Below are 12,034 nucleotides of genomic sequence, written 5' to 3' on the forward strand. Positions count from 1 at the left end.
TTTGAGACAGAGTCTCGCTCCATCGCCCAGGCTGGAGTACAGTTGCATGATCTTGGCTCACTGCAACCTCCACATCCTGGGTTCAAGGGATTCTGATTCAGCCTCCCAAGTAGCTGGGATTACAGGCCCGCACCGCCATGCCCGGCTAATTTTTGTATTTTTAGTGAAGATGGGGTTTCACCATGTTGGCCAGGCTGGTCTTGAACTCCTGACCTCAGGTGATCCACCCGCCTCGGCCTCTTAAATTCCTGGGGTTACAGGCATGAGCCACCGTGCCCAGCCTCTACTGGTTTTATAAGGGGAAGCAGAGCAGGCCTGCTGAGGGCAGGCAGTACCCAGGAGGTGGTGGCAGTGGGCAGTTGCTCGGTGATGGAAGGAGACAGGAAGACGACACAGTGGCCAAAAAGTGGACCCCACCCAGATGCCCATCAAAGGACAGGGGATAAAGCGCAGCTTATCCACACAATGGAATATTATTTGACCACAGATAGGGTGGCTACAACATGGATGAATCCCACCAACACGGCGGGGGAGGGAAGCCTGTCTTAAAAGGCCACAATAGGATTCCATTCCTAGGAGGTGGCCATCGTAGGCAAATCCAGACAGACAAGAAGTGCAAGAGCTGCGGGCAGAGGTGGAGAATGGAGAGTGACTGACGGCGATGGGTTTCTTCGAGGGGCAACAGAAAGGTTCTCAATTGACTGTGGTGATGGTTGCACAGCTCTGACTGTACTAAAATCCATTGCACTGCACACTTCAGAAGGGTGAATGGCACGGTATATGCATCCTATCTCAATAAAGATATTTTTTAAAACCACAAAAACCAGCCAGGCACAGTGGCTCACGCCTGTAATCCCAGCACTTTGGGAGGCTGAGGTGGGCAGATCAAAAGGTTAAGAGATCGAGACCAGCCTGGCCAACGTGTTGAAACCTCGTCTCTACTAAAAATACAAAAATTAGCTGGACGTGGTGACAGGCGCCTGTAATCCCAGCTACTCAAGAGGCTGAGGCAGGAGAATCGCTTGAACCCAGGAGGCGGAGGCTGCAGTGAGCCAAGATCACACCACTGCACTCCAGCCTGGGCGACAGAGCAAGTCTGCCACAAAAGCAAAATTAAAACAAACAAACAAACAAACAAACAAACACACACTAGAAGTCCTGGTGTAGCCGCATTGGCTGGGAGTGGACACAACCCCTCTGCTCCTGAGGCCCCTCTCACTGACTGGACAGGCCTGGGGCGGGGGTGCCCCATTGCCAAATGTGTTTGGGCGGGGACGCTGTGTTTGAGTCAGGTCAGAGTTCCTGATGACAGTATGTGACCGTCCCTTTCCTGCAGCCCTCTCCAGCCTTACCCCCTTTTCCCAGCACCTTCAGTTACATTTATTCTCCCCCGCTTCAGATCCTGGCAGCCCCCACCTCTAGCCTGAGCCCCTACTCCCACTCCTTCAGTTCCTATCCTTCCCAGCTCTTCATCTCGGCATCCCGTGTCCCTGGAAACGCAGCCCAGGCCTCGTTGCTAGGAGAATCCGGTGAGGGCTGGAGGCAAAGGTGAGGGGCACCCCTTGCAAGCATCGGGGAGGCGGCCCCGGCGTAGGTCTGCTGCACCATATGGCGCTTGGGCACAGAGAGAGGTTCTTAAACTCAGTCCAGACAAACAGTTGACAGCAAAATCAGCTCTTCAGATCTTTCAAAATATTGGGCGTGCAGGAAGCAATGTGAGAAATCCACAGAAGTGGCTTGCTGAGGCCCTGAAGCAGCACGCCGACTGATTACGAGGAAGAGAAATGGAAATGTTTCAAGATTTTTTTTTTTTTTTTCCTAAAAAGGGTTCTCAAAGAAAAGGCAAGATGAAGAACAGAAGCAGAGCTCACTGATGGTCAAGGGAAGAGACGAGCTCAATGGCTACAAAGCTGAGATCCGGTGGTAAACCCTGGACACATCTCCCTGTGGACTTGATTTTACTTTGGAATGGTTTTGTTGGTGCTGGTGGTAGGCAGTGGATAGGTGGTTGTTTTTAGGACATCGAGGCAAATCTTCCCGAAAATAAGCAGCGTGGCCAGGCACGGTGGCTCACGCCTATAATCCTAGCACTGTGGGAGGCCGAGGAGGGCAGATCGCTTGACGTCAGGAGTTCAAGACCAGCCTGGCCAACATAGTGAAACTCCCTCTGTACTAAAAATACCAAAAAAAATTAGCCAGGCATGGTGGTGCACGCCTGTAGTCCCAGCTACTCAGGAGGCTTGAACCCAGGAGGTGCAGTGCAGTGAGCTGAGATCCACTACACTCCAGCCTGGGCAATAAGAATGAGACTCCAACTCAAAAAAAGAAAAAAAAAAAAAGAAAGAAATGGAAGAGCAGTGTCTGCTTCCACCTGCTAGGAGGGCTGCGGGAACCCATGACAGCCCAGAAGCAGAGGACTGAGCCCAGGCCCGCCACCTCCCCTGCCCCCCCTGCCCCGCCACCTTCCCCCCAGCGCTGTGCCACAGAGCCCTCTGCAGGTCTCTCTCCAGCTGTGCCTGGGGCCCGCTCACATCGGTGACCCACCTATGCTATCCCACCTGTGCTGTCCTCTCTACCTGGGGTGCGCTTCCAGTCACCTGGCTGCTGCCCATACATCCTTCAAGATCCCTTTCAAACCCCACCACCTTGAGCGGACACCTCTGACTCTGCCCCTCTGCCAGGATTCTACACATATAGCCCCGTCCTCCCTCCCATGACATTCTATTAAAAATTCTGTATTTCTGCCCCTTTCCCCTCTCCAATCAGCTCCCTGTACACCTTCCAGCTCCTCTACCCTGTACCCCTCAGGAGGCAGGATCTTTCCTGCCCAAGGCCCTGGGCAGAGTCCACCTGGGTAAAACTGTCCTGCCAGAGTTAGGTGGGCAGCTTAGGCCTCCAGGCCTCAGGTCTGACTGCAGTCCTGTGGGGGTTCTGCAGAGGAAGGGACAGGTCCCGGGTCCCCACACTCTACGCGAAACCTAAAAAACATGGTGCTGCTTTTGGCCATCAGTGGGGGCTGGATTCCCAAGTTCAAGGCAATTCCCACTTCCCTGAGCCCAGACACCAACCCATCCTCATGGTCTGGAATGACAGCCTGGGAACCACAGGTGGGCGGCACAGAGCCCACTGTATCCTAGGAGAAGTCCTCAGACGCCTCCCTGACAGAGAAACCAAGGTTTCCCAAGGGAGCAGAGAGTCACCCACAGCCTCTGCAAACGCCACAGGCTGCAACACAGATGCTAAAATTACCTGAAACCCGAAGCAGATGGTGGGGAAGACACTGAACACAGAGGTCCAGGAGGCAGGGCTGTAAACAGACAAGAACAGGAGTTTATTAAAGAAGGGTCACACCCGGAACAACCTGCGGCTGCAATGGTGAATTTTAAAGGATGCTGGGAAAATGTAACAGAGCATGGCTGCAAGATGTATTTTTAATGACTGTGTCCGTGACCGGGCTTTTGGAAATGGAAAAGGATGCTGGCTAAATGCTGCACTTTCTAAATACGTCTTTGCTGACATTTGGTAACATGACATTTTACATGTGGGCAGAATTTGGGCAGGAAAACCGCAGTAGGAACTCCCAACTTCCCTCTTGAAGGCTGCTGGCTCCCAGTGCGGTTTGGTAATTGGCAGGGGCGGGGGCACCCAGAGCATCCACCCAGTGATCCCAAATAGCACAAGGATGGTTTGAGCTCTGTCCAAGCCACCTAAGAGGACAGAGGTCTGCGTGGGGAGAACCTCCAGGTCCAGCCTCTTGGGATCCCCGCCTGGTTCACAGCTTCCTTTGACAGGCTTTGCAGGTGTAATTACTGAAAGTAAGATGAAGTCATGGTGGATTAGGGTGAGCCTGAATCCAATGCCTGCTGCCCTTATTGGAAGGGAAAACAGACAGAGAGAACATGGTGTGAGGATGAAGGCCAAGACCCAGTGATCCGTCTATCAGCCAAGGAACACAGATCGCCGCGGCCCCCAGAAGCAGGAAGAGACAGGAAAGATCTGCCCCTGGAGTCTTCGGAGGGAGCATGGCCTGACCACACTTTGATCACTTGTCACAACAGCCCTCGGACACTCACATATCCTAACTCATCACCTCCTGTTTTTACCAGGGCCTCCTCATCCCCTCGACCTGCCTGTGCTAGAGTACCACCGGCTCAGTGTACAGATCTCAGCACTCACAGCCTTCAATGCCATGTCTGGGCCAACGTCAGCCACGTTTCTCCTGCCAGCCCGGACCTCTCTCTCTGAACTTCAGACACACAGACCTGCCCAGCTGCTTGACTTCCCTCTTAGATGTCTCCAGGTCGGCTCTACCTTGACTGTTCCAGCCTGAGCTGCTCCCAGGGACCCGCCCTGCTCAGTCCTCTCTAATCCAGGAAACAGCATCTCCATCCTTCCCACTGTTCAAGCTGAGAGCTCCAAGTTACCTTGACTTTCTTCTCTCTCTTACTCACCTTCCAACCCACCAGCAGCACTGACCACAGAATTCACAGGGCCAGGTGCAGGAGGAATATGCGGGGACCCTTGTTGGACAAGGATTAAGGATTTTAAGACAGTGACATCAGAAGGGTACACTGAGCATGGGGCCTGGGTGACTGTAGGGGTCGCACACCCACGAGCCAGCCCTGCCACTGGGAAATCCGATCTCAAGCATATCCAGTCTGACTATTCCTCATTGCCTCCTCTGAAGCCACCAGGTCTGGGACCCGGGATCTAGGCAGAGGCCTCCCACTTGGTCTCTGTTGCTGCCCCTGGCTCCCAAGGACCACAGAACAGAATAAAAAGGGTGAGCCTTTTTATTAATTTTTTTCTTTTTTGAGACAGAGTCTTGCTCTGTTGCCCAGGCTGGAGTGCAGTGGTATCATCTCGGCTCACTGCAACCTCTGCCACCCGGTTCAAGCAATTCTCCTGCCTCAGCCTCCTGAATAGCTGGGATTACAGATGCCCACCATCACACCTGGCTGAATTTTATATTTTTATGTAGAGACAGGGTTTCACCATGTTGGCAAGGTTGGTTTTGAACTCCTGACCTCAAGTGATCCACCTGCCTCAGCCTCCCAAAGTGCTGGGATCACAACTATGAGCCACCACACCCTACCTAGAGTGACCCTTTCTAAAAACAAATCCTGTCACATCCCTGCTGTACTCAAAACACTGCCAAGTCTCCCAACTCATCCAGAGCAAAACCAAACTCCTCGCCGTGGCTCTGAATCCCTGTACGACATCCCCGCCCATGCTCTCTGCCCTTGTTCCGGCTGGCTTGGCCACACCGGCCTCCTCACTGTTCCCCTGCCCCGGTACATGCAGCTGGATGGCTGCCAGATTCTGTACCTCCACACTGTGGGGACAAGTCTGCAATAACCTATGACCCCTAGGCCGCCGCAGCCTTTGGCGGTTCTGCGTCCCTTGGCCTGTCCCGGTCATCGCTAGCCACGGCCAGGTCCCTGCAGCAGAAGGAGAGTGGCCCTCCCTTGCCTTCACCGCATCAGAGACGGAAAGAACTGGAAGGAAGGAGCCCAGGCTCTGCAGTGAGCCACGAGAGGCTCCTCCTCCAAGACTCCCCTCACAGACTCCCCTGCCGTGCCTCCCCGCCGAGGCTGCCGGAAGCTGTTCCCTCAGACTTACCTCAGTGAAGGATGGGACTCACGCACGAGGCCCTGGGGCCAGAGGTAGTACTGCACGGTGATGACCAGGGCCAGGTAACAGGCAGCCAGAGTGCCTAGGATGCTAACACAGTGACCGTGTGAGGGGCTGCGCAGTGGGTGACATGTGCGGTTGATGCACGGGGACAGTAGTGGGATCTGAATCCCAGCTCCGCCCTTGACAATGAGGTGCTGGCCAAGCTGTCCACCTCTGCCTCACCATCCTCATCTGTACAGGGGGCATGTGGGGCAGGGCTGCTTTGGGGTCAAGGGGTCAGATGTAGAGTTTTGTTGTTGTTGTTTTGTTGTTGTTGTTGTTTTTTGAGACGGAGTCTCGCTCTGTTGCCCAGGCTGGAGTGCAGTGGCGCAATCTTGGCTCACTGCAAACTCTGCCTCCCGGGTTCAAGCAATTCTCCTGCCTCAGCCTCCCGAATAGCTGGGATTACAGGTGTCCGCCCCCACGCCTCGCTAATTTTTGTACTTTTAGTAGAGACAGGGTTTCACCGTGTTGGTCAGGCTGGTTTTGAACTGCTGACCTCGTGATCTGCCTGCCTTGGCCTCCCAAAGTGCTGGAATTACAGGTGTGACGCCCAGCCCAAATGTGTAGAATTCTTAATGGCACCCGGCGCCCTTCGGGATGGCAGCTGTAATAGTGTTTCCTTCCCACCAGCAAAAGCTAATCAGCCACTCAGCCTGATGCCTAAGGCAGGACGCCAGCAGGCTCGCTCACACTTGAGAGGGGACAAGCCGCCCCCTGGCTTGGTCTGAGTGGCACGAGAGCCTTGCAGGGCAGAGACCTGAGGGAGGCTCGGGTTTGCTGCCTGCTGTTTCTATACAATGTCTATTGTTCATACACAACAGGGAAAAGGCAGGCAGCAGAGGGAGATGGATACTGTTTCCAAGCTTTATTTCTTCCTAAGTATACAGACCCTTAGCCACAAAAAAACAACCTCTGTGTGTGTGCACACATGTGCGTGCATGGGCACGGGGACATGCGGGGATGGGGGTGCATGTGTGGGTGGGTGAGCATGGGTGGGTGTGGGTACGTGGGTGTGCATGGGTGGGTGTGGGTAGGTGGGTGTGCATGGGGGGGTGTGGGTAGGTGGGTGTGCATGGGGGGGTGTGGGTAGGTGGGTGTGTATGTGTGGGTGTGGGTAGGTGTGTGTTGTGGGGAGGCGTCTCTCTCTCTCTGCAGCCATGTGCAAAAAATCCAACAATGAAATAAACTGAGTAGCACTGACGTTGTTACAGGTCATTTTCTTCTTTAGGCTCATCTATGTTTTGCATCATGCATACATTTTACTTGTATAATTTTTTTTTCGTTTTCCCCTTCTCCAAATGTGAAGGCCAATTCCCCAGCTCCTCTGACCCCAGATGGACAGAAACCCTGACACAAACACTCAGCAAGGTGGGGGCCCCCACCAGGCAGCATCCCAGCCCTTACCTTGTGTATTTCTGGAAGGCGATCTCCCGCGGGGCAGACAGGGGCAGGATGACCAGCACGGAGAGCAGGGGCAGGGTGAAGCGCTGGTCTGCGTACCACGGCTGCGGGGCGGGCGGGGTGCCAGACAGGAGGGAGTCACACACTGCCAGAGACACGGGGAGAGCTGAGCCACAGAGTACAAATGCCGTGGGTTCTCGGCTCCCACCTGGCCCTTCAACCCTGGCTGGGGTTGGACATCCACCCTCAGCCAGCCCCAGGAGCCCAGGGATCAGACGACAAGTGAGATGGAGACAGGTCACGTGCCCCACGCAGGAACAAACCCTGACACATGAATTCATTCAACAAACATTCGCTGGGCTCCTTCCCCAAGCCCAGCACTGCTCTAAGGCCCAAGATGAGGCGATGACCAGACAAGCCATCTGCCCTCGTGCCCCTTACATTCTGGTGAAAGACTCTTTTGGTTTCGTTCGGGAACTCAATAGTATCTGGAGTCAAATGGGGGCCTGAAGTCGATTTTTGGCCACCGTGCCGTCAGCAACAGGCTGCTGTGCATGAGCATTGTAGGTCCTCATGGTTGCAGCAGAACACATGACCCCAAATGCAGTGGCTCAAAACCACTTTATTACAAGTCATGGATCGTAGGTAGAGAGTTAGTACAGGGCCAGGCTGGCCAATCCTCCTCCATATAGAATTGGCTGAGGTTGCTTGGGGGGTCTCTGGCTGGCAGTGGGGCTGGTCTGGAGGAACCCTGATGGCTCCCCACAACACCTACTGCCTGATGGGTACACCTGGGCCTTCCCTGCAGTCTGGGAGTCTCTCCACATGGGCCACCTAGCAGGCACCTCCAACTTCTTCCATGGCAGCTGGGGGACCCCAGAGACTGAGGCAGAAGCTGCCTGTCCTCTTAAAGGCCAGACCCAGAATGGGCAGTGTCTCATTTGCCACACATTGCTGGACAAAGCCATCCAGGCACACCTAATTCAAAGGCAAGGGACACAAGCTCCACTAACCTCTCCGTGGAAAGAACACCAAAGAATGTGGGGCCATTTTTATTCTGCCACAGTGGGATGAATGATTTGGAACCCATCTAAGAGGTAAGACAGATGGGGGAGGGGAAAGCACAGGCGAGTGGGAGGGTGGTTGGAGGTGGGAGCCACTGGGAACCACCTGGGTGGGTGAGGTGGCCCCTGCAACCACTGGAGATGGGAGGCCGAGGAGCTTGAGATGTCTTCGCTCCTTCGGTGGGTTGTTGGCCCTGAGGTGTCTTAAGTGCTTCTTTGTTCTCACTCAACAAGGGGAGCCATGTGAAAAAATGAATGCATGTGAGAATAGCTCAAGCGTACGAAATGATGAAGGGGAAAGTTCCAAAAGCAGGTGGTCACAGCAGCATCCACGTGGGAGAGCCGAGATGCCAAGGGACTGCACATGCCCCAGGACTGCACCGAGATCGTGGGTGAGTTTTAGACCTCCAGGTGGCGTGGGATGGGGCAGGCCCTTTGTCTGCATCTGGACCTCCCATAGCCAGGATCCTCAGGGCCAACAGCAGGACTGTACCAGCTCCTTCCTAAACCCAGCGTTCCCGGATGCTTGAGATCTTTGGCACCAAAGACATGGTCAATTGTACCTCGTGCCATGACTCCCCCAAGCACTCCAACCTCTATCTAGCACTCCGTCTCAGAAGCTTGGCCTTCCCTACAGAGAGGCATCCCCAAATATCTAACCAGATATACACAAGAACGCTCTCTCCACCACAGTCAATCAACCCAGACCTGGGGTGGCCCGTATCCTCATCCGTCCTCTGACTAGTCAGGGGGCTCCGCTCCCAGTGAGGCTCAGAATCCTTCTTAACACAGCAACGCTACCAGTTCAGTGGAGTTGAAACTGCAGACGAACTCTACTTGCCACTGTGGGGGAGCAGGACGTTTTTGTGCCCACTTACCCATTAAGAGGTTCAGATACGCCAATCTCACTTCTTCTTGGTATAAGGTCGTGTTTACCAAGACACAGCAGCCTTCAATCTCAATACCCCCCAGTCAGGGGCCTTTTGCTTCATGGGTCAAGAGACACACAGAACACACACATGGCAAAATGGTACACTAAATTTCACCCTATCAACAATCACATGCCAATTAAAAGTCTAAACATTCCAATCGGAAGTCTGAGACTGTCAAGTTGGATAAAAAAGCAAGACCCGACCATATGCTGCCTACAAGAAATGCATTTTAAAATCCCAAGCCATTCTCAGGCTGGTGTTGCAAAAAGGACATATAAACACATTTAACAAAAAAATAATCCAAGTCATAGTTAGATTCTAAGTCAAAGAATGAGAAGAGAACTTCTATACAAACACTAGTCTTAAGGATGCTAGAGTGCCTCTATTAATGGTAGAGAAGACAGATTTAATGCCAGAGATAAAGAATACTTCATAATAAAAGGATATACCTAGAGTTTCAAAGACCACGAACCATGAAGCTTGACAGAATAGGCTAATCTGCAATCGCAGCTGGCGATTTTAACATCCTTTAACATCCTTCTCTTAGGAATAGAATAACTAGACCTAAAGATTAATATGGTTGCAATGACGATCTGAACACAGCTGTTGACTGCCTTGACCTAATGGACATTGCCAGCACACTGTACCCAGCAACTGCAGAGTACACATTCTCTGAAGAGCACACAAAGTGTTCTCCAAGACAGACCATGTGCTGGACTACAGAGCCAGTCTCACTGGATCTCAAAAGACAGCAATGATACAGACTCCCTGACCATGATGCAAATTAAGGTCGAAACCGTGAAGGAATCTAAAAAACTCCTCAATAATTGTCAATTAAACACTACAATTCTAAACATCTCACAAGTCAAAGAAACCACAGTGAAAAGGAGCAAATATTTTAAATTTTCCATTCATGAGGAATGAGTCCAGTGAAAATGAAAATAGGACATATGAAAATTGGCAAGATGCAGCTAAAGCAGTGCTTAGAGGGAAAGTCTTAGTCGGGAACTCGAGGCCAAGGTTGGTGAGGGCTCAGAGCCACAGCCATTCCAAAGCTAAAGGTGTTACTGGTTCTTTCTCAGAAGGAGCTGCTTGCTGTTGGCTCCATTTACTCATCTGTGAAACGACTTATCTCCACTGGATATCCTAATTGCAGCCACAACCTCTCTCATGCACTTGTGTGCCCATGACTGTCACCCAACTGGTGACTATCCATTCGGAGCCTCCCTTCCCTACCATGTTAGGAACAAGAGTGTGGTTTCAGCCTCTGCTGTCCCTCAGGGCCCAGGCCAGGGCCCCACGTCCTGCTCAACTGGAAACTCCAAGAGGTCATTAGAGGTCCGGCACCCTGGGCCACCCCGAGTCCCATGAAGGTACTTACGCTTCTCCAGCTGGTCCCCGATCACCCTGAGGAAGGCCACGGAGATCATGAGCAGGTTGAGGAGGAAGCAGGCCTCACACAGCTTCCCAATGGCAGGGCCACACAGCCCCCTGACCACACCCTGGTAGGTGGCCTGGCCACTGACAGCAGCAGCATAGCCCAGGATGACCAGCCCGCTGATCAGGAAGACCAACGAGACCTGCGGAGAAGGAGCAGGACCTGGAACTGGGGTGTGCCCACAGCCCACCCACCCCCAGCCAGCCACCCCTCGGGCACACTCTCCACATGGCTTCTCATCCACAGAGGCCAGGGCTGCTGCCAACATGGGGTTGGCAGTCTACCAGCTATGTCACTGCACACACCCCCACCCCACCCCACCTATCCTGAAATCAGAGCTGCAGTGCAGGCTGATTCTGGCAGGCTCACTGGCTCTAGGCTGTGAACCTGGGAATCTGACACCATCCTGCCCCAGTGGGATAAATGAGACATCAGAAACCCAGTGTTTAAGTTACTCTCCTAAAATCGCCTGGGCTGTGGGTGGAGAGGCAGTAGGCGTGGTGGCTTGGAACCCGAGGTGGAGCGGGCACAGCCGGGCTCAGGTTCTAACCACTGCTCACCTGCTGTGTGGCATGAAGCAGGATGGCAACCTCTGCTTTTCCATCTGTGAAATGGGGGCGGCACCGCCCCCTTGCAGGGGTGCTGCTATGACACGTCAGGACTGAACAAGGTCTGTGACATACTCGGCTCAGCGTGTCAGTGCTCAAGAAATGGTGTTCCGGCTGGGCACAGTGGCTCATGCCTGCAATCCCAGCACTTCTGGAGACCGAGGTAGGCGGATCACCTGAGGTCAGGAGTTTGAGACCAGCCTGGCCAACATGGAGAAACCCTGTCCCTACTAAAAATACAAAAATTAGCCAAGCATGGTGGCAGATGCCTGTAGTCCCAGCTACTCATGAGGCTGAGGCAGCAAAATCTCTTGAACCTGGGAGGCGGACGTTGCAGTGAGCCAAAATTGTACCTCTGTACTCCAGCCTGGGGGATACAGAGAGACTGCCTCCGAAAAAAAAAAAAGAGAAAAGAAAACATCCCTCTATTTCAGCTTCAATTTTTTTTTTTTTTTTTTTGGAGACGGAGTCTAGCTCTGTCACCCAGGCTGGAGTGCCATGGCACGACCTCGGCTCATTGCAACCTCCAGCTGCTAGGTCCAAAGAATTCTCCTGCCTCAACCTCCCGAGTATCTGGGACTACAGGCACACACCACCACACCCAGCTAATTGTTTTTTGTATTTTTAAATCTTTTTCCAAAATGTATTATAAAAAATTTTCAGGCCAGGTGCTATGGCTCACGCCTGTAATCCCAGCACTTCGGGAGGCCAAGGCGGGAGGATCACCTGAGGTCGGGAGTTTGAGACCAGCCTGGCCAACATGATGAAACCCCATCTCTACTAAAAACACAAAAATTAGCCAGGCATGGTGGCACATGCCTGTAATTCCAGCTACTTGGGAGGCTGACGCAGGAGAATCACTTGAACCCAAGAGGCGGAAGTTGCAGTAAGCTGAGATCGTGCCACTGTACT

General features: G+C 53.1%; 1 protein-coding gene across 2 annotated transcripts in view, besides 2 other annotated features; it reads right to left on the bottom strand.

Annotated features, from left to right (window-relative positions):
- The window catches only part of SLC38A8 (solute carrier family 38 member 8), a 33,706-nt gene that overhangs the window by 16,578 nt on the left and 5,094 nt on the right, over window positions 1-12,034 (bottom strand). For both annotated transcript variants that reach the window (XM_017022946.1, NM_001080442.3), the window contains 4 exons: window positions 10,458-10,656; window positions 7,084-7,225; window positions 5,623-5,724; window positions 3,250-3,307 (listed from right to left, as the gene is read on the bottom strand). In XM_017022946.1, the coding sequence (XP_016878435.1) occupies window positions 3,250-3,307; window positions 5,623-5,724; window positions 7,084-7,225; window positions 10,458-10,656 (501 nt within the window). The remainder of the gene's footprint in view (window positions 1-3,249; window positions 3,308-5,622; window positions 5,725-7,083; window positions 7,226-10,457; window positions 10,657-12,034) is intronic.
- Window positions 880-1,381: an enhancer, noted in NCBI's record as "H3K4me1 hESC enhancer chr16:84060729-84061230 (GRCh37/hg19 assembly coordinates)". NCBI's record gives its function as "activates a minimal SCP1, AML or CMV promoter by ChIP-STARR-seq in primed H9 embryonic stem cells {active_cell/tissue: H9 hESC(primed)}" and the evidence as "EXISTENCE:reporter gene assay evidence [ECO:0000049][PMID:30033119]".
- Window positions 6,731-7,231: an enhancer, noted in NCBI's record as "H3K4me1 hESC enhancer chr16:84066580-84067080 (GRCh37/hg19 assembly coordinates)". NCBI's record gives its function as "activates a minimal SCP1, AML or CMV promoter by ChIP-STARR-seq in primed H9 embryonic stem cells {active_cell/tissue: H9 hESC(primed)}" and the evidence as "EXISTENCE:reporter gene assay evidence [ECO:0000049][PMID:30033119]".

Source organism: Homo sapiens, chromosome 16 (assembly GCF_000001405.40).
Source record: "Homo sapiens chromosome 16, GRCh38.p14 Primary Assembly".
Classification (NCBI taxonomy): Eukaryota; Metazoa; Chordata; class Mammalia; order Primates; family Hominidae; genus Homo; species Homo sapiens.